The sequence below is a fragment of the Homo sapiens genome, chromosome 11 (assembly GCF_000001405.40).
Source record: "Homo sapiens chromosome 11, GRCh38.p14 Primary Assembly".
NCBI lineage: Eukaryota > Metazoa > Chordata > Mammalia > Primates > Hominidae > Homo > Homo sapiens.
Window position 1 is genome coordinate 232,039 of NC_000011.10, and position 20,980 is coordinate 253,018.

The 20,980-nt window shown below is 45.9% G+C and overlaps 2 protein-coding genes and 1 pseudogene across 41 annotated transcripts in view, besides 3 other annotated features; 1 reads left to right on the forward strand and 2 right to left on the reverse strand.

Annotated features, from left to right (window-relative positions):
- Window positions 1-4,893, reverse strand: part of SIRT3 (sirtuin 3) — a 21,902-nt gene extending 17,009 nt beyond the window's left edge. For 10 of the 38 annotated variants that reach the window (NR_163391.1, NR_163387.1, NR_163389.1 and 7 more), the window contains exons 1-3: window positions 4,578-4,893; window positions 1,305-1,496; window positions 945-1,177 (exon numbers count right to left, since the gene is read on the reverse strand). Coding sequence is in view for 19 of the 38 variants with exons in the window: in NM_001370318.1 (NP_001357247.1) it covers window positions 945-1,177; window positions 1,305-1,351 (280 nt within the window). In the remaining 19 variants the exon portion in view is untranslated. Of the gene's footprint in view, window positions 1-944; window positions 1,178-1,304; window positions 1,497-1,701; window positions 3,517-4,009; window positions 4,305-4,577 lie in introns of those variants that run through there. The other 28 variants (NR_163397.1, NR_163395.1, NR_163400.1 and 25 more) reach the window with 12 other exon arrangements.
- Window positions 4,370-4,449: a silencer, noted in NCBI's record as "silent region_2989". NCBI's record gives its function as "represses an Ori minimal core promoter by ATAC-STARR-seq in GM12878 lymphoblastoid cells {active_cell/tissue: GM12878}" and the evidence as "EXISTENCE:reporter gene assay evidence [ECO:0000049][PMID:35858748]".
- Window positions 4,600-4,789: an enhancer, noted in NCBI's record as "active region_4255". NCBI's record gives its function as "activates an Ori minimal core promoter by ATAC-STARR-seq in GM12878 lymphoblastoid cells {active_cell/tissue: GM12878}" and the evidence as "EXISTENCE:reporter gene assay evidence [ECO:0000049][PMID:35858748]".
- On the forward strand, window positions 4,938-20,946 carry PSMD13 (proteasome 26S subunit, non-ATPase 13). 3 transcript variants are annotated; one of them, NM_002817.4, is made up of 13 exons: window positions 4,938-5,106; window positions 6,960-7,038; window positions 12,003-12,037; window positions 12,123-12,178; window positions 12,388-12,431; window positions 12,637-12,723; window positions 15,239-15,410; window positions 16,738-16,817; window positions 16,894-17,019; window positions 18,765-18,827; window positions 19,508-19,588; window positions 19,782-19,898; window positions 20,467-20,946. In NM_002817.4, exons 1-13 carry the CDS (start codon window positions 5,012-5,014, stop codon window positions 20,560-20,562), a joined length of 1,131 nt encoding a protein of 376 aa, NP_002808.3. In that variant the 5' UTR covers window positions 4,938-5,011; the 3' UTR covers window positions 20,563-20,946. The 3 variants fall into 3 exon arrangements, with proteins under 3 accessions (NP_002808.3, XP_011518537.1, NP_787128.2); XM_011520235.4 differs by lacking the exons at window positions 19,508-19,588; window positions 19,782-19,898; NM_175932.3 differs by lacking the exon at window positions 6,960-7,038 and having other exon boundaries at window positions 12,003-12,178.
- Window positions 4,950-5,189: an enhancer, noted in NCBI's record as "active region_4256". NCBI's record gives its function as "activates an Ori minimal core promoter by ATAC-STARR-seq in GM12878 lymphoblastoid cells {active_cell/tissue: GM12878}" and the evidence as "EXISTENCE:reporter gene assay evidence [ECO:0000049][PMID:35858748]".
- Window positions 10,353-11,651, reverse strand: LOC100420679 (signal recognition particle 19kDa pseudogene; annotated as a pseudogene).
- Window positions 20,947-20,980: the final 34 nt, after the last annotated feature.

Below are 20,980 nucleotides of genomic sequence, written 5' to 3' on the forward strand. Positions count from 1 at the left end.
TGTGACCATATTAAGGAATTACTAGTGATTCTTCAGTGTGAATCACTATCAGAGTTGTTTTTATTTTTTAATTATTTTTATTTTTATTTATTTTTTTGAGACAGAATCTCCCTCTGTCGCCCAGGCTGGAGTGAAGTGGCACGATCTCGGCTCACTGCAACCTCCGCCTGCTGGGTTCAAGAGATTCTCCTGTCTCAGCCTCCCGAGTACCTGGGATTACAGGCACACACCACCACGCCTGGCTAATTTTTTGTATTTTTAGTAGAGACGGGGTTTTGCCACGTTGGCCAGGCTGGTCTCGAACTCCCGACCTCAGGTGATCTACCTGCCTCGGCCTCCCAAAATGCTGGGATTACAGGTGTGATCCCACACCTGTAATCCGGCACCCGGCCGGAGTTGTTTTTAAAGTATTCTCTAGAGCTATCCATTCATGTGTTTATAGATTATTTCTAGATTAAATTCATGATGTGAGAGATTTGCTTCAAAATAATCTGGGGATTTGGAAGAAGGTGGTGAGGACGCAGGAAGAACTGGCTGTGTGCTGGTGATGAGGACAGGACGGTTCGTTACATTGCTCTCTTTGTGTGTGCTCAAAAAAATTCCATAATACACTTCTTAAAAGAGAGAAGAAAAAAAGAGATCATCACACCAGATTGGCAAAACAATGTCAACTTCTGCCCAAAATACACAGCTCTGCAGGTATGCAGGAGAACAAGCAGTGGCCTTTAAACACCCAGAGGACATTTTCCTTGGGAACAAAGCCCTAACTAGTTGGCTCAAAAAAAGTCCCAAGGAAGAAGCATAAGCGATAGGTTTTGGCCGTCCCCAGAAACAGGCACCCGAGCATCCCCTGTGAGAAACAGGCACCCGAGCCTCCCTGGGAGAAACAGGCACCCGAGCCTCCGTGGGAGAAAAAGAATGTGTGCGACTCACAGAGGGCTCACCTCTCTCAAGCCCATCGATGTTCTGCGTGTAGAGCCGCAGAAGCAGCCCCTTGTCATGAAGCAGCCGGAGAAAGTAGTGAGTGACGTTGGGCTTGTAGTTTCCAGGGTACAGCTCCTTGGCCAAAGTGAAAAAGGGCTTGGGGTTGTGAAAGAAGAATGGGAGTTCAAAAATGGCCTCGGGGTACGGGAGATCGTACTGCTGGAGGTTGCTGTACAGGCCACTCCCCGGCGATCTGCAGGGAGAGAAGAAAGGCTCTGAGGCCTTTGGAAGAGGACAGGGAAGTGGAATAAACTGGGCAGTGGGGAGGGCAGGAGTCAGGGGAGGGGAGCGCAGAAGGCAGGTGGGACTGTGGGCAGTACCTGAAGTCTGGAATGCCACTGGGTGTGCTGATGCCGGCCCCCACCATGACCACCACCCTCTGGCAGGCTCTGGCCCGAATCAGCTCAGCTACATCCTGCAGGGAAAGCTTCCCCTTGTCACTGCTGCCTCCACTTCCAACAACACTTGAAGCACCCACAGAAAAAGATATGGACCTTCTTCCACCTTTAATACTGACAGAAAAAAACACAGCAGCAAAGGAAACAGATAGCAACCAATCTCAGGATAGCAAGAACGAGCATGGCTCTGCCCTCTGCACCACCGCCACCCTCGAGAATGAGCATGTGTGTCTCCCCAGGCCTCTCAAAATAATCACCTTTCTTAGACGACTATTGGGGTACAACAAAAAGCAGTCATAAATCAGAAATCAAGACTTACTTGGGAGCAAAAAATTCAGGTTAATGGGAACTGTGCTCATTTCATAATTCAGTACACTCAGTAGGCACTCAACTCTGACTGACTGCAAACCTCCAAAGGGGTCTCCTAATGAAAACTGGTTAAGGAGTCAAGAAGCAAAGAGGGAAAACCCTGGTTCTAAAACCATCTCACCACCTATTAAGCGCCCCACTTCACACAGCATTTCAGACATCTATTCACTTAAGGTCGTTCCCCAAACAGCTACTGTGCTCCTACTAAACACGAACTGTTAAGAGAAGCACAAAAGGAATGAAAGTTATTATTGCTGTTGAGTGCCTGCTGAGGGCAAGGTATCACGAAGGGTGCCTGAGTACATTCCTCATTTACGTAAATAAAATGTTTGTGAGTCACTGAAAAACACATAAACGGCGTTTTACCAAATGTCTGGAACATACGTAAGATGTATGGCTTAAAGTACATGCTGCATGGTGTGAAATTCACTGGGAGTGGGGGACCCTGAGGGGCAGGCATGGGTGCAACCTGGGAGGGACACTGTGCAAAGGACACAAACAACAAATTCAGAGAGCTCAAAAATCCAAAGCCAAACTGGAGGAAGCCCATGCAATGGACTACTCCTCACACGCAGCCCTATGCCTCCTGCTTTAGGGCCAGTGGTAGCAAGGATTTTTGTTTTGTTTTGTTTTGTTTTGTTTTGAGACGGAGTCTCGCTCTGTTGCCCAGGCTGGAGTGCAGTGTCGCGATCTCGGCTCACTGCAAGCTCCGCCTCCCAGGTTCACGCCATTCTCCTGCCTCAGCCTCCCGAGTAGCTGGGACTACAGGCACCCGCCACCACGCCTGGCTAATTTCCTTGTATTTTTAGTAAAGACGGGGTTTCACTGTGTTAGCCAGGATGGTCTCGATCTCCTGACCTCGTGATCCGCCCGTCTCGGCCTTCCAAAGTGCTGGAATTACAGGCGTGAGCCACCGCGCCCGGCCGCAAGGATTTGTTTTAACAGTTTTGCAGAGTATCACAGATATTAGAATGCGCTCCACGTGTTTGTAGGTCCTGGTCCCTGCTCCATCCATAGCACCTAGAACAGAGTCTGGCACAGAATAAGAGCTCAGTCAGGGCTTCTTGGATGAACGACTGACTCTTCGGGATCTTTGTTTTTTTTTGAGACGGAGTTTTTGCTCTTTCGCCCGGGCTGGAGTGCAATGGTGCCATCTCGGCTCACTGCAACCTCTGCCTTCCGGGTTCAAGTGATTCTCCTGCCTCCGCCTCCTGAGTAGCTAGGATTACAGGCGCCCGCCACCACGCCCGGCTAATTTTTGTAATTTCAGTAGAAATGGGGTTTCACCATGTTGGCCCAGCTGGTCTCGAACTCCTGACCTCGTTATCCACCCGTCTCATCCTCCCAAAGTGCTGGGATTACAGGCGTGAGCTACCGCGCCCGGCCAACTCTTCAGGATCTATTAAACTTTTTTCTTTTTTTTTTCCCACAGGTAGATAAGAGTCTTGCTCTGTCACCCAGGCTGGAGTGCAGTGGCTCAATCATAGCTCACTGCAGCCTTGAACTCCTGGACTCAAGGGATCCTCTTGCCTTAGTCTCAGGAGTAACTGGGACAACAGGCTTGCGCCACCATGCCCGGCTAATTTTTAAATTTTTGGTAGAGATGGGGGTCTCGTTATGTTGCCCAGGCTGCTCTTGAACTCCTGGCCTCGAGCGATCCCCGTCTCAGCCTCCGAAAGTGCTGGTATTACAAGTGTGAGCTACCACTTCGAGACTCACTTTTCACCAACATTTTCAGCAGTTGTGTCAGACAGCAAGTCAATGTGCCATTATTTACTTAAATATTCATCCATTATAGGGCATCTGATACCTAACAACCATGGACCTTAAGATTTTTTCCTATGTAGCCTCAGTTCTTAGATGCAATTACTATGGAGACGGGTACGATCACATGCCAGTGGGAGTATTAACCGCACAACATTTATGAGGGATCATTAAAGCGTTAAATGCATATACTTTTGGACCTAGCAATCCCAGTACTAGGAATTTATGCAAACAGTGAGGTGCCAACAAGGTTATTCACCACAGCATGATGCACAATAACTAAAGGTTAGAACGTATTTCAATGAGGGAATGGTGAAATAAACGACAAAACCCCCATAAGTGACGTCCACAGATCAGCATAAAGACGGAGGCCCCGGTGTTGGAACGCACGTAAACTCCCAGACATGCCGCAAAGGAAACACGGCAAGGTGAGAAAGAGTGGGCGAGGTGTCGACAACGAACACGCAAGAAGTGCTTGTCCTTGCCCAAAATACCTCGAAAAGAAGAAACTGGGAGCTGCTGCCCTCGGCTGCCTCCGGAATGCCCTGGGCACCTCGGGTCTGGGAGGCCTCTGCAAGGGGCGCGCCGGGTCCAAGGGCTCACCGCGGGCCCCATGGCTGCCTCTCAGCCCCGCACTCACATCGTCCCTGCCGCCAAGCACCAGCCGACAGCCGCAGGCCTGAAACGGCCCCACGCCTCCCCCGGCCTCGACCCGTTCAACTACCCGGCCCCACAGCCGGAGGGCTGCCGCGGCGCGCCAACCCCAGAACGCCATGTTCCGCGCAGTCCAAGGAGTCCTCCGGACTCGCCCCGCCCCCGGCGCCCCGGCCCCGCCTCCGCCTCCCACCCCCGCCCCCGGCGCCCCAGCCCCGCCTCCGCCTACCGCCCCCGCCCCCGGCGCCCCGGTCCCGCCTCCGCGCCCCGCCCCCGCCTCCTTGCCGACGCCTCCGGCGCGCCCAGGTAGACGTAGAGGCGAGTAGAGGAAGTTCCCTAGTCTGGTGTCTCATCTCTCGCCCCGGAGGTCAAACCTGGAGCCAGCATTTCTGTACCCTGCGCTCACACCTTTTTCAACCCGGATGGCGGTGATAGTTAATACTTTCTGAGCGCTTTTACTATGGTCAGGCATTATATTTACACCTAATCCTCGCAAAACACTACTGGGAAGATCCTCATTTGACAGGAGCAATTCCGGGTCACAAAGGCTGACACCACAAAGCTAGTCCGTAGCGGGTTCGACCACAGGCGCCCACACTCTTTGACGCCTCAATGGCACAGCCAAGTGCGCGGGAAGTGGGCTGCAAACGCCGGAGAGTTTTGTCCGGAGCGCAGAGACGCGCTGTAACCGAGCAACCAGCGGGGCCCGCCCCCGGCCTGCTACGGCGCTCCCAGCCTGCCCCGCGCCGCTCGGCGCCGGAAGTGAGTGAGCATTTCCGGCAGCCATCCCCGCGGTGCTGACATCCCGGTTGTTCTTCTGTGCCGGGGGTCTTCCTGCTGTCATGAAGGACGTACCGGGCTTCCTACAGCAGAGCCAGAACTCCGGGCCCGGGCAGCCCGCTGTGTGGCACCGTCTGGAGGAGCTCTACACGAAGAAGTGAGCGCCGAGCAGACGGGCCCTGGGCCCCGGCGATAGAGGGAGACGGAGGGGGCAGGCGGGCGGAGGAGCGGACCCTTGATGGGCTGAGGGCGCCCAGACCCAAGTTGGGGGGAAACGGGGACGTGTAGCGACCGGCTGTGCCGGCAAGGTTTGCTGAGGAACCTTGAGTGGCAGGGTCGAGGAATAAGAGGGATGACAGACCACGAGGGCCAAGAGCTGTAGCCAGGATGTTTCGGTCTGAGATTCACTGCTTCCTTAACGGGGGACTGAGACTGAGGCTTCTGAACTCCTACCTCGGGTCTTACTAAAACGGTTCAGGAGTAGCCTTTGATTTTAGCTCTTGATTCCATCTAACAAGCAAACACACTTTCAGGGCCACCACCCACTTTGGGAAACATGTTGGTGATTCGTGCTTAGCCTTGTCATAGTGTAACTGTATCTACAGTTATCTTTCTCATGGTCTGGAGTTGATAAACCAGAGGCTAGTACAGCTTTGCTGTTTTCCCTATTCATTCTGCAGCTGGTTGCACGGGGTGCAACCACTTCCGCCGTCCCATTGTCTTTACCTTCCATTGTATTTCTCATGGGCTTTCTGCCCCTAGAAAGATCTTAAAGTTTAGGTTTGTTTAGAAACAGGATGAATTGCAGAGCAATTAAATTCTTGCTAAGCACTAACCTCCTTTTAATATGAGTAGAATAAATTGCTGGCATTGGGCTGGAGCTATTCCATAGAAAATACATCTCCTGTAGTAACCTCCCTGTTAACCCTAGCATTTAATATAATACCTTTCACATAGATGTTCCATACATGTTTTGATGATGTTTAGCATTCAGCAGCCTTCTGCTATTAGCAGTTTTTGAGAGCAAATTAATGTTTGGCAAATAATGGTTTGTGTTGGATAGCACTTGGTAATTTTCAAAGCATTTTATCTGCGTTATTAAATATTAGCCTTTGGGTTTTGGATGAAGCGCTATGTCACTGTCCCTGAGGTTTTAAATATTAGCTTATTTAATCCTTTATTCATCCTTTTCACAGAGGAGGAAACTGAAGCTCATTTTAATTGCCTTCCCTGAGATACTCAGCTAATAGGTAGAAGAGCCAGCATCTCAAGTTAGATATGTATGATTCCAAAGTTCTCGTTTCCAGTGAAACCTCACAATAACCCTTTGAGTTAATCTAGATTAATGTTCTCCATTTCATACCTGGGAAAACTGAGTCTTAGAGAAGTTAAGTGATCTCAAAGTGACATAGCCATTCAATAGCAGAGCCAGGAAAAGAACTCAGGTTTATCACATCTGCTTTAGCATTCTTTCTGCTACACCGTAGAGACTGGTTAGTATGGATTTAGTATCCCTTATCAGAAATGCATTGGGGCGGCCGGGCGCAGTGGCTCATGCCTGTAATCCCTGCTACTCGGGAGGCTGAGGCAGGAGAATCACTTGATCCTGGGAGGCAGAGGTTGCAGTGAGCCGAGATGGCGCCACTGCACTACAGCCTGGGCAACAGAGTCAGACTCTGTCTCAAAAAAGAAAGAAAGAAATGCATTGGGGCAAAAGTTTTTTTGGATTTAGTATTTTTTCAAATTTTGAAATATTTGCGATATATACTTACCCGTTCAGTATCCATAAATCAAAAATCTGAAATCTGAGATGCTCCAGTGGTCATTTCCTTTGAGCCCTATGTTGGTGCTCAAAAAGTTTTGGATTTTGGAGCATTTTGAATTTTGGAGTTTTGGAGTTTTGGATTAGAGATACCCAACCTGTATTTGTGACTTGATAGAATCATCAAGGCTGGAGGTGTCTGTGACTGGATATTAGGTTAGAGGTCTTAAGGGCTGTATGTTTTTCAGGTTGTGGCATCAGCTGACACTTCAGGTGCTTGATTTTGTGCAGGATCCGTGCTTTGCCCAAGGAGATGGTCTCATTAAGGTAAATAATTTGCTATACCAGATTAGATTATATGAATGTGCTCAAGGACTTTTGAAAATAAGATAGGCTTTATGCTAATAATAATAATAAGCTCCAATATTCAGCAGTCACTTTACGTCAGGTACTGGTCTGAGCGCTTCACATATCCTTCATGACAACGCTGGTCAGTAGATACTACTATCTCACTTTTTTGATGTAGAAGCAAACATAAGACTTTAAGTAACTTACCATAGATCACTGCTGATAAGTGGCAGAAGAGGATTCAAACACTGACATTCTGGCTTTTTTTGAAATTCTAGCATAAAGTATTATCTTACAACATGCCTAAGTATCTTAGTTCATAGGCTTCTTTTTAGTACTCTAGTTTTAGAAACAAAGTTCAAACCCAGTTAGAGGGTGGAGTAAGGTATGAGGAAGATTACTATCTGTGGGAATCTTAGATAACTTCCATCACTCCCCTTCTTTAAGCCGCACTGCTTGCTTGCCCAGACACTTCTGTCCTGGGTAGTGTGGAAAATAAAACACCTTTTGTACTTCGGTTGAGGGTAGGTGGATTGGAGGGAGAGTCCTGTATAGTGTCATGCTGCCTCTGTAATAGAGGACTTTTAGAATTTTTTCAGCAGTAGACAAATACGCACCTTCTTTCCCAGCCTTCCCCAGATCCCCTGACACATCCCCACGAATTTGCTCACTGGTAGCCTCCTCTTTGAAGTTTTTCCTGACATCTTACTCTATGATGGCTTTCTCTGATTCTGAATGAATCAGAGATTCATACCAGCATTGCAACTGATAGCTTATAATTACATTTTGAGTCATTTCTCCTGAATACATTACTTTTATATGCTCGCAATAGAGCTTACCACCTTGCTACCCCACCACCTGGGCTTGTAAGATTTTCTTGTGGTTTATAGCCATCAATTTGACATTTTACTATTCAGAGGAACTTACAATCATCTGTAAGCCTGGAGATTTTGCTGAACATTCAGTCTTCTGGATTATGTGGGAAAATGATAAATGAGACCTGCTTTTTTTTTTTTTTTTTTTTTTTTTTTGACGGAGTTTCGCTCTTGTTGCCCGGGCTGGAGTGCAATGGTGCGATCTTGGCTCACTGCAACTTCCACCTCCCGAGTTCAAGCGATTCTTCTGCCTCAGCGTCCCAAGTAGCTGGGATTACAGGTGCCCACCACCACAGCCAGCTGATTTTTGTATTTCTTAGTAGAGATGGGGTTTCACCAGTGTTGGCCAGGCTGGTCTCAGACTCCTGACCTCAGGTGATCTGCCTGCCTTGGCCTCCCAGAGTGCTGGGATTATAGGCAGGAGCCACTGTGCCTGGCCTGAGACCTGTCTTAATACTTGTTCCCTAAGGTTCTAAATCATCACGATAGATGATTCATAATTGTTTATCTCTGTCCTTTGGTTTCTTATCTTTAAATCACTTTTCTACACATGACAAAATATTTCCTCAACCTCATGGTAAGGTGATGTTTATTTAGGTTGGCAGATCTGAGTTTACTTTTCCCATAGACAGAATAAACCTTTAAAATTTGTTGGGATCCAGCTAGCATAAGTGTAAAATGGATAGTATTTTTGAATTTATAGTCACCAGAAGTAATTTTGACTTTCTGGACTTAGTGGGCTTCTTTTTTAAGGTAATTTTTTAGATTAATACATGTCAGGAAAGTTCAAACATTTCCTTCTAATAAGGAAGATATCTTTGAAATAGTCTTTTGTAATAAAAATGCCATTTTATTTATTTATTATTATTATTTTTTGAGACGGAGTTTCATTCTTATCACCCAGGCTGGAGTGCAATGGCACAGTCTCAGCTCACTACATCCTCCTCCTCCCGGGTTCCAGTGATTCTCCTGCCACAGCCTCCAGAGTAGCTGGGATTACAGGCACCCGCCACCACGCCTGGATAATTTTTGTATTTTTAGTAGAGACAGGGTTTCATCATGTTGACCAGGCTGGTCTCAAACTCCTAACCTCAGGCGATCCACCCGCCTTGGCCTCCCAAAGTGCTGGGATTACAGGTGTGAACCACCACCTGGCCACCATTTTATTTATTTTGGGTGGGCAAAGGGACAGAGTCTCGCACTGTCGCCCAGGCTGGAGTGCAATGGCAGATCTCAGCTCGCTGCAACCTCCGTCTCCCCAGTTCAAGCCATTCTCATGCCTCAGCCTCCCAAGTAGCTGGGATTACAAGCGTGTGCCACCACACCTGGCTAATTTTTGTAGTTTTAGTAGAGATGGCATTTCACCATGTTGGCCAGGCTGGTCTTGAACTCCTGTCCTCACGTGATCCACCAGCCTCGGCCTCCCAAAGTGCTACATAACAGACGTGAGCCACAGCACCGGGACAAAAATGCCATTTTATTTAGTTGACTGTTTCTTGTGTGCCTGATTGGAATATGTAATTGCTACAGGGGTGTTTTCATCCTTCTACCTTCATATCCCAGAGGAACTACAGGCTCTCCTAATCCAAAGTTAAGGTCATTTGGAGGTTCCCTCTCCTACTGTGCCCACACTAGGCGCTCTTGGCCCAGTTACCCCTAACTCAGGGGTTATTGTCAGCTCTCCTTCTCTGTGACCGGCCCACATCTGAGTGAGTCTGGTTCGTTACCCCTAAATCTCTCTCAAATTATTCATCCATCCTCATTACGGTTGCTCCCTCACTCTCCTGTCTTGGCCAGTACTAGCCTCTGACTGTTCTCTCTCAGTCTCTTTCACCTGCTGTCCTCTCTGCCCCAGGCGTGTTTCTAAAATAGAAATGATCATGTGTGTCCTCTGGTTCGGCCTTGCACTCTGGACAGAGACCAATCTTCAGTGCTTCCTAGTCTGTGTCCCTCAGAAATGCCCCTGAAACATAATGTATTTTTTTCTTCAGTGCTTTTGCACATGTTTGTTACTGTCTGGAATGTTCTTCTCTCAGCTTCTTCCCCTCCCACACCAAATGGCCACCTCTCTAACCGCCCTTCATTCCTTGAAACTCAGTATTGCCACTTCTACAGTAACCTTTGAAGCCTCTCCCTTTGGCTGATGCACTTCTGCCCCTTTTTTTTTCTTTCTTTCTTTTTGCTCTTAAACTCACTGTATTGTCATTTATTTGTTTAAAGACTGTCTTCAGTGGACCAGGAGCTCCTTGAAGACACATCATTTGTCTTACACGTTCTATGTTGTAGTATCTAGTATGGAGTCTGAGGAAGTGCTCAAGTGTGCTGAATGGCTAAGAAATTTGAAAACGGTGCATAATTAGCTTTAATTAAAATCTGAAGGAACTCCATTCTGTTTGATTAGCAAACATTTCTCTTTTTGTTTTAAATTTTATTTCATTAACTTAATAGGTGAACAAAATGTGTATTTCAAATCTAATTGAAATTCATCTGAAACATGTTTACACAGAAGATAGATATAAGATTTCAAGTAACTTATTGTACAGTCCATTGTCCATTTTAAGATATTCTTTCTTCCAAAAAAACTGCGTTGAATGTCAAAAAAAATCTTTTATACTCCATAAAATTGAGATGCAAACTTCTGATATAAATTTTTTTCACTGTCAACTCCGATGATAAAGATGGGAGGCACAAGCGTTCACAGTTCAGTTAAATGATGCAAACGAAAAGCTTCTGTTTTCCTTTGATACAAATTAGAAGCCTCCATTCAGGTCTCTTACAGTAGTACCGCATACTTGATCCTGATACTACATTATGTCTTTTTCTTTTTCTCTTTTTTTTTTGAGATGGAGTTTCACTCTTGTTGCCTAGGCTGGAATGCAATGGCACAATCTCAGCTCACAGCAACCTCTGCCTCCCTGGTTCAAGCGATTCTTCTGCCTCAGCCTCCCAAGTAGCTGGGACTACAGGCGCGCGCCACCATGCCCAGCTGATTTTTGTATTTTTAGTAGAGACGGGGTTTCACCATGTTGACCAGGATGGTTCCAATCTCTTGACCTCATGATCCACCCACCTCTGCCTCCCAAAGTGCTGGGATTACAGGCGTGAGCCACTGCGCCCGGATGGTTACGTCTTTTTCTTTCCCTTTTTTTACTTCCCTCTCCTTGTTGAAGACTTTGGTCACCACCTCCTGTTTTTTTGTGTCCTTGTTTTTAATTTAGGTATCATTTATGCTGCACACAACATTACTGACTTAACGTGGTGGGAAATGTACAAGATAGAGGCTGCCATTTTCCTGTTTGAGCTGGGCCCAGATTCTGCTTTTATATTGAACATCACGATTCCATTCTCTAGAGAACATTTTATTTTTCTCAAGAAATGCATTAAGTCCAACTGCTAAACATAGATCTTGAATCTCTAGCTGTAGGATTTTCAACAGTCTTACTTATGGGGATTCACCTTCCTTCCACAATGGTCTTATTATTTAAATGAGTAGGACAGATACAAATAAACCTGAACATAGATCTTGAATCTCTGGCTGTAGGATTTTCAACAGCCTTACTTATGGGATTCACCTTCCTTCCACAGTGGTCTTCTTATTATTTAAATAAGCAGGATAGATACAAATAAACCTGTCCTGGTAGGCTGGGGACCACACGGCAGCGCAGGCCATCTTCACAAGGGTCCAAATACCAACAGCCCGGAAGCCACAGGGAGAGAACTGAGGGAGCGTTTCAATCTGATAGTCTATTTAGCTTACAGTACCTGGAAGAAAGAATATAGGAATCTGTCTGGAGGTTCTTATAGGTCAGTACTCTAATTCCCAAAACTAGAAGAAACCTAATATTCCTTAGTAATCTGTTGATCATTTATGTGAATGTAAGTAAGCCCTGATATGGTCTCCTATCATTCTGCAAACATGCATTGCTTACTGTGTGCTGGGCACTGTGGCTTGCACACTCCCAACTTGATAGCATTGATGCAGCTTCTTTACCAAAGATAGTGTTTGGGGTCTTCGTTTTGCAGAATAAAAGACATCCTATAATTTCTCTCCATGTTTTGGTTTCACAGCTTTATGAAAACTTTATCAGTGAATTTGAACACAGGTAAAAGCCTCTCATCCGTTTTTCACTTTGAAAATGAGTGCATTGATGCTCGGCGGTGCTCAAAGGCTGGTGGCTTTTATTTCAGGGTGAACCCTTTGTCCCTCGTGGAAATCATTCTTCATGTAGTTAGACAGATGACTGGTAAGTCTCACTTTGTTTTATAAAGGAGCAGATCCAAATGGTGGTTAAAATTGAAATATAAGTTAACTGAACTTTTGTGTTTTCTGTATCAGATATTATGTTTTTATTATACTTTATGGTCAAAACCTAAAGATTACCCTACCTAAGGGTGTCTTGGTTAGCAGAAACCAGTCTGTTGATGGTCCTTCTGATTGTTCCTTCTTTTCCAGATCCTAATGTGGCTCTTACTTTTCTGGAAAAGACTCGTGAGAAGGTAAATGTGGCATGTGGGCAATACCTTTTAGTACCTTTTAGAGTATGTATGACTTAACAGCTTGTGTTCATGCTCACTGTCCAGACCTTTAGAGACCACAAGGCCTCTAGTCATCAAGGTTAAGTTAATGTACAAGTAGCTAGCTTCCTTTGTTAGTCAACTGCCCACATTCTGAGGTTTCTTGTTTTTGTTTTTGATGTCTTAGGTGAAAAGTAGTGATGAGGCAGTGATCCTGTGTAAAACAGCAATTGGAGCTCTAAAATTAAACATCGGGGACCTACAGGTTACAAAGGTGAGATCACCATAATACAGATTTATCTTTGGTTTAAAATTATTTAAAACCCTAGGAAAAAAAATAACCTATTTTTCTTCTTTACTGTTTATTTTAAAACATTTTTACATTACAGAAAAGTTGCAAAAATAACACAAAGAACTACTATACCCCAACCTAAATTTCCCATTGCAAACCTTTTTTTTTTTTTTTTTTTAAAGACGGAGTCTCGCTCTGTTTCCCAGGCTGGAGTGCAATGGTGCAATCTCGGCCCACCGCAACCTCCGCCTCACGGGTTCAAGCAATTCTCCTGCCTCAACCTCCTGAGTAGCTGGAATTACAGGCGCGTGCCTCCCTGCCCGGCTAATTTTTTTGTATTTTTAGTAGAGACAGGGTTTCGCCATGTTGGCCAGGCTGGTCTGGAACTCCTGACCTCAAGTGATCCCTCTGCCTCAGCCTCCCAAAGTGCTGGGATTACAGCCGTGAGCCGCTGCGCCCAGCCCCCCCGATTGCTAACCTTTTACCGCTTTTGCCTTTGTGTGTGTCTGTAGCTTTTTTCCAAAACCACTTAGGAGTAAGTTGCTGATACAATGCCTGTTGCCCTTAAACAAAAGAGCACTCCCCTGTGTGACCACAGCACATCCGTCTAATAATGACTCCACATGGCCTCAGTCAGCCCAAAGCACATTGGTTCTCCCTGACCAAGGTCAGCCTACACACCACTGGCATGTCACGTGCTATTTCTCCATCTTCCTTCTGCCTCCTAAATGTTGTTGAAGTATCCTGTCTATTTTTATGTCTTTCTTATGTTCAATTATGTTTTGGTGCAGTTGGGAGACAGGTATGGATGTGGGTGGCAGTGAAACCGACATGTGGCTGGTCCACCTGGTTGAACCAGAACGTGTGTGTGTGTGTGTGTGTGTGTGTGTGTGTGTGTGTGTTTGCATGTGTGTTCGTGTGTTTGTGTGTGTTTGTGTGTGTGTGTTTGTGTGTGTGTGTGTTTGCTAATCACAATGTTAAAGAAAATATTGGGGGTAAGGGTTAAAGTGTTCATGTCCTCATTGCCCTGAAAAGATACTTTTTATTGTTTATTGTCAGTCCTAACCCATATGCATACTTAGTGCATTTTATTTTCAAATATTTTAAGACATATTGAAAGCTATAAGTCACAGTACAGAATGCTGTAATAGGCATCCATGTGCCCCAACCAGCTTAGGAAGGAATGAAGCCACACGGCACAGTCAGGGTCCCAGTACCCTTCAGACCACACTTCTCCCCCAGCCAGGCTCCCTCTCATGCCCATGCATTTCCTTGTCCTTCATTAAATAGGGGTGTGTAACTCAAGCGTTTTAACATTGGCTCAATACTAGGTTTCAGAGTCATGTGGGTATGTGTAACCAATGTGCTGTTACTCCTATACGGTATTTCATTGTATAAGTGTTTCACAACATATGTATCCAGTCTCCTATTGAAGAGATTTAGGGCCAGGTGCGATGGTCACACCTGTAATCCCAGCACTTTGGGAGGCTGAGGCAGGTGGATCACAAGGTCAGGAGTTCAAGACCAACCCAGCCAAGATGGTAAAACCCCGTCTCTACTAAAACCACAAAAATTAGCCGGGCATGGTGGCGGGCGCCTGTAGTCCCAGCCACTCGGGAGGCTGAGGCAGCGAATTGCTTCAGCCTGCAAGGCGGAGGTTGCAGTGAGCCGAGATCGCACCACTGCACTACAGCTTGGGCAACAGAGCGAGACTCTGTCTCAAAAAAAAAGGGAGATTTAGGTTGTTTTTTTTACTATCACAAACAGTACTGCCATAAGTATTTCTGTGCCTGGTCCCTTGTGTGTGGGCAGAATCTCACCAAGATGTATGCCTAGAGACTACAGGTACAAGCTGTGTGCATCTCTGCCTTTCCCAGATACATGCTCCCTCAGCACCATATGAGTACTCTGGAAGCTCCATGTCTTCAACACCTGATAGTTTCAGGCTCTAACTCTTGCTGATCTAATAGAAGTGAAATTATATCTTGTTGGGGGTTTAATTTGCATTTCACAATTACTAGTGGTTTATTGGCCATTCTGTTTGTGTCCCCAAATTTGTCAATTGCCTGTTAATGTCTTTTGCCCATTTTTCTACTGTGTTGCTTGTCTCCTGACTCATTTGTAAGTGTTTTTATATTTCCTTGGTCATAATTGCTGGTGGGTTATAAATGTTGTAAATATTGTTTCCCAGTCTGTAGCTTGTCTTTGTACTTTTTTCTGTGTTTTGGATTAAGTTTTCCATTTTAACGCGGTCACATTCATCAGTCTTTGCCTTGGTAGTTGATGCTTTTCATCTCACAATATATTACTTTAAAAATCTTAGCCAAGCACAGTGGCTTGAACCTGTAATCCCAGCTACTACAGAGGCTGAGGTGGGAGGATCACTTGAGGCCAGGAGTTCAAGACCACCCTAGGCAACAGAGTGAGACCCTGTCTCTAAAAAAATAAAATAAACTTTTAACTTAAAAAGAGAGATGATTTTCCTTCCTGTGTATAGGAAACAATTGAAGATGTTGAAGAAATGCTCAACAACCTTCCTGGTGTGACATCGGTTCACAGTCGTTTCTATGATCTCTCCAGTAAATACTATCAAACAATCGGAAACCACGCGTCCTACTACAAAGATGCTCTGCGGTTTTTGGGCTGTGTTGACATCAAGGATCTACCAGGTAACCTAGGCCATTAAATCCATGTCACACAGGAGCATATTCTCCAAACTTAGCATCTGTGAGTTGCTTGAGGTGACAGTTCTCAGAAATTACTAAGGTGGGGCTGGGCACGGTGGCTCACGCCTGTAATCCCAGCACTTTGGAAGGCTGAAGTGAGTGGATCACCTGAGGTCAGGAGTTCGAGACCAGCCTGGCCAACATGGTGAAACCCTGTCTCTACTAAAAATACAAAAAACTAGCCAGGTGTGATGGTGGGTGCCTGTAATCCCAGTTACTCAGGAGTCTGAGGCAGGAGAATCACTTGAACTCGGGAGGTGGAGGTTGCAGTGAGCCAAGATTGTACCACTGCACCCCAGCCTGGGTGACAGAGCGAGACTCCATCTCATCCAAACAAAAAAGAAATTACTCAGATGGATTCATCCTGTTTTGAAGAAAAAAATGGGAAGATTTGTGTAACCTTTAGTTTCTACATTATATTTGTCTCCAGCATTTAATTTACATGAAAATGAGGCTAATTCCTCCTCGCTCCTTCACTGTCCCTTCTCCAGTCCCTCACTGTTACCTAAGCCACAGGTATTTGTAGGAAGCACCATGACGCCAACACCTTCTGAGCCCTCCCCGCCCACCCCTCTGCTGCAGAATAAAGGGCACGTGAAATCCCTGTAGCTGAGACCCTTGTTTTGAAAACTGAAATTCCAGACCCATGGGGACAAATTATTAAATCTTTCAAGGATTTGAGAGTGGAAAGAAAATGACCTGTGAGTTTTGGAAAAAGTGTAAGGAATATATGTTCAGAAAATAAATTTTCAGCATATTTTAGATGTTTCTCACAAAACACTGTTGAAGCTAAGGAGACCAGCAACTCTTAACAGTGTTGATGCAGTTTTTATTACTGTATGTCAAGAAAAATATATCGGAAAAGGAACTAAGGTGGTCAAGAGAACAATAGACTTGCTGTCTAGGAACAGAAAGTAAGTTAGTTCTGGTCTGAAAAGAAGCTAGGTTAGGTAACTTAAATTTATTCCTTGCCATAGCAGAAAAGAGATTTAAGGCACTTCCTGGAAGTGGCACAGCTGAAAATATGAATAGATTCACATATATTTAGGAAAAAATAAATGAATGCTCCTCCCAAAAAACCCATGTATATATGGTTCTTGGTATAATCTAAGTCAACCCAATACTTCAGAAGAGGTGACTAATGTCAAGGCTTTGTAATAACAACCATTACAAACAATGTTTTTTTACTTTTTGTTATATGAGATTTTTAAAGCTAAACAGGACTGATTATTATGACTGGATTGTAAGTGGGCCTGTGTTGCTACCATAGTGTCTGAGCAGCAGGAGAGAGCCTTCACGCTGGGGCTAGCAGGACTTCTCGGCGAGGGAGTTTTTAACTTTGGAGAACTCGTAAGTTGACCCTGAGCTCAGCTTCCTTAACGAGAGAGACTAAAGTGTTACTAGCTGACCATCTCCATCCTCACAGCTCATGCACCCTGTGCTGGAGTCCCTGAGGAATACTGACCGGCAGTGGCTGATTGACACCCTCTATGCCTTCAACAGTGGCAACGTAGAGCGGTTCCAGACTCTGAAGACTGCCTGGGGCCAGCAGGTAGGACTCCCACGATGCCCAGCCCTTATTCCCCCATGTATCTACTCGCTCATACAACAGATGTTCATTGAGCGTCTTCCCTAGGCACACAGGAAAGAACAGGGCAAAGAGGAGACCAAGATAGGCTAGTCCTTGCTCTCATAGAGCAGAGAGTTAAGTGGTTGGTTAGCTACAGCATTACTCAGTGCTGCAGACAAAGAGTGAGGGTGTTCTGAGAAAACAGAATCGAATGTGGGCCCTGCATCTACGCTGGGTGGAGGGGGTGTCACAGAAGATGTAGAAGTCATAGTGACCTAAGGTCTGTGTGACCTTAGGAATGAGTGAAGAGGTACGGGAAGAGTGCACTCAGCGGAGAAAACGGAAAAGTTTAGTATCTTTGCTGAACTGAAAGAGGGATGTGTGAGGCTAACATGAGTGGGTGGGAGAGAGCATGGGATGAAGGAGGAACAAATGCCTGGTGAAGAGAATGGGAGAGCGGTGGGTGCAGGGAGGGGGAGAGCGGCGGGTGCGGGGAGGGGGAGAGCGGCGGGTGCGGGGAGGGGGAGAGCGGCGGGTGCGGGGAGAGGGAGAGGTCCATGCAGGGAGAACAGCCAATTCACCTCAGTGCAAGGGGAGGGCAGGCACTGGGTGAAGTTGTCTCTGGAAGGTGGGAGTTAGGGAAAGGTGCTCAACAAGGGCTTGAGCTTTAATGATAAGTATGTTCTTTTTTAATGAGATTATTAGAAGTAAATATTAATAAAATGTTAACTGTGGTAGGAATTATGGTTATTTTTGTATTTTTCTGAAACTTTCAATTTTCTCAGTTTAAAATAAACTTGTAAAATTCATGCATAGTGGAGCAGGGTAGATATAGATGAAGGCACTGTGAAGAGGCAGAAAGCACAGATGCAGCCAGACCTAACTGTGGTCTGATTATTTATTGATATCTCAAAAAAAGGTGACACTCAGAAAGGAAGATGGCTAGTTATAGCAATTTAAAGAAAAAAAAAAAATCGTAGATGCATGTTGGCAGCATCTATTCAGGCAGCAAAGCCTGTCTGGAGGGGTAGTGAGCCCTTTACAGAGCTTGACCTGTCCAGTACTTGTGGCAGAAATGTCCCCATCGGGGCTACCTGTGTCAGGATATGAGTTGCTATTTGAATTAAAACAACAAGTCTCCTTGGTTTAATTCTGTGCTCACAGGTAACGTTTTGATCCATAAGAAGAGATGATGCATATCTTGCAGAAGCGTATATTCTAGTTCTCAGGACAATGATATTTTTCATTATAAATTAATAACTTGCTCTTTTGATTCAGAACAAGTCTCTAGAACTTAAGGAAGCTTTTCCTCAGAGGGGCTCCACTTGCACTGGCTCACTGAGCCGGCAGCAGCCCTTGAAAGAACCCCCCTGGGCAGTAGGGTGTATCCTTCCCAACAGCACCTTGACCAGGAGAGTCTTCTCGAAATGCCCGTACCCTGTGGCCCTGCCTAATGGTGTCTGTAGCATTAATACAAATCTTACCTTGTAAATTCCTTGCCTTGACAAAGTGTCCCAGTTAGGTGCGACTCTTTCCATTTCCTAAGAAGAATGAAGCTCAGATCACTTGTTGTTAATGAGCTTCAGCAGTCTGCAATGTGAAATGTTTGGATCTGCTTAGCTGGTTTTTGTTGGGTCTACTGTTATAGAACGAATTCCAGATCCCCAGTTAAGTAACTGATAAGCACAAACATGGAAGACATTTTTCTGTCTTTCTATACTTTACAGCCTGATTTAGCAGCTAATGAAGCCCAGCTTCTGAGGAAAATTCAGTTGTTGTGCCTCATGGAGGTAAGCGAACACCCAGGAGCCACTTTGTCTGTGGTTTCAGATTTTGGTCAGGTGGGGGCGCTGCACTCTCCAAGCCTGTGCTGAGCAGTGTGAGCTTTCAGTGGTGCTGCTTCTGCTGTGCGCCGCTCTCTTCACCACCTTCCTTTTCCTTTGCTACCACTTGCTCTTCTAAGTTTATATTTGGCTCTTAGCTCAGACGACACCCTCCCACCCCACTGCCACCACCCTGAGGCCTTCCCTGACCATCTGAACTGAGATGAAGTAGCTGCCCCTCTCCCCGTGATGCAGTTGTTGCCTCATTGCATGTCGCTTCTTGTGTACACGCACATCTGTCTTTCCCCACTAGAACTTAAGCTTCGTCAGGAAGTGGCCCTTAGATTTCTGGTTTGCCGTGGTCACCCCTGGTCAACCCTGGCAAATTGTGGCCTCAAGTACTTGTTCGGGGATTGAACAATGGCTACTGTCAGAAACTCCTGTAAGGCATTTTGCTGTTATCCTTCTTATCTAAGCATTAAAAGCTTGTTCTTAACAAGATATATGTCTAATATTAGGAAACTTTTTAGTATGTGGGGTACTAATAAGATCTCTATTTTCAGAGCCAATATTGACAAAACATCCTTATCAGTTCTCTATTTTTATTTGGAAAAATAGTTTAAAATAGTTAATAAAATTTTTTCCAGATGACTTTCACACGACCTGCCAATCACAGACAACTCACTTTTGAAGAAATTGCCAAAAGTGCTAAAATCACAGTGAATGAGGTACGGTCCCTAGGCTCAGGGTGTTAGAGCAGCAAAGCTGCCACATGGAGGAGTCAAGGCTCTTGTGTGAGCGCTGTGCTCCCTAGACAGTAAAAAATGACGGGAGGAGCGGCATCTGCTTCTCACAAGCCATCTGGGTCCATGGGGGTGTGTCAGGCTATCTTGTCTTACACACGCCTCCCTCTCTGCACAGGTGGAGCTTCTGGTGATGAAGGCCCTTTCGGTGGGGCTGGTGAAAGGCAGTATAGACGAGGTGGACAAACGAGTCCACATGACCTGGGTGCAGCCCCGAGTGTTGGATTTGCAACAGGTGATGTGTTTGAAACCCATTATTCACCTCTGTGGATTTTGAGGGGTTGTGTCTATACCGTCTTAGTTTCATTTGGATGGAAGCCATTTGGGAAGACAGCATTATTAGACAAGAGGTTTTGGAGAAGGAAATACTGCTGTTGGGTTTTTCTAAGAGCCTAATTTAATGCAAGCCTAGGGTTTGAACCCTGCATTTAAAAGCTTATGATGACAATGGCACTGGTTGTGCTGACGGTGCCTTTTAATCTTAAGATAGGAGCTCTGATCAGATACGTTCCTGGTTCTGTGATTTGAGCTCACGTCGCTCTTACATTTGCTGGAAATGCGATCCTGTGGATTTCCTCTGTCCTTGTCTGCTTTCTTTCATGCAAGTTTTTTCTAACGTTCCTGTGAAAAGAATTAACCCGGCAAGTCCCGTCCCACTCCCCCAGCTCAGAGGTCCTTTTTACTAGAGCTGCCCTAGAGAGTTAGCTGGAGATGTAGAGTCACCCCATCAGGTGCTGTGCCGGCCGCTCGGCCTGTGTCTCCTGCGTGTCTTAACGTCCCTTGTGTCCGGATTTCCATTTCAGATCAAGGGAATGAAGGACCGCCTGGAGTTCTGGTGCACGGATGTGAAGAGCATGGAGATGCTGGTGGAGCACCAGGCCCATGACATCCTCACCTAGGGCCCCCTGGTTCCCCGTCGTGTCTCCTTTGACTCACCTGAGAGAGGCGTTTGCAGCCAATGAAGCTGGCTGCTCAGACGGTCGACATTGAATTTGGGTGGGGGTTGGGATCCTGTCTGAAGTACAGACTGTTCTTGCTCTAAAAACAGGACTGTCCCTGATGGGAGCCAGGCCACAGGGAGGAGGCTTCTTTGTGGGTCTCTCCTGCAGAGGGTGGGGGTCTCAGGGTCTTAGGTGATACGGGAGAGAAAGAACGTGCCAGGCAGGAGGCCCCCTGAAGTCTGTGTACTCCGAGGTGGATCTCCATCCCCATCCACCTGTACGGACATCTTTTCCGTTGCGGTTTGAGAATGTTCCTATAATAAACCCCTCTGCTTTGTTCTTCTTGTGGCTCTGTTTTCTTGGGCTTAGCTTCCAG

Bases quoted from the DNA above. Each gene is read 5' to 3' on its own strand.
- PSMD13 (NM_175932.3), top strand. From the start codon at position 5,012: ATGAAGGACGTACCGGGCTTCCTACAGCAGAGCCAGAACTCCGGGCCC. The intron at 12,432-12,636 runs GTAAATGTGGCA...TTGATGTCTTAG, and splicing joins TGGAAAAGACTCGTGAGAAG to GTGAAAAGTAGTGATGAGGC. The intron at 19,899-20,466 runs GTGATGTGTTTG...TTTCCATTTCAG, and splicing joins GAGTGTTGGATTTGCAACAG to ATCAAGGGAATGAAGGACCG.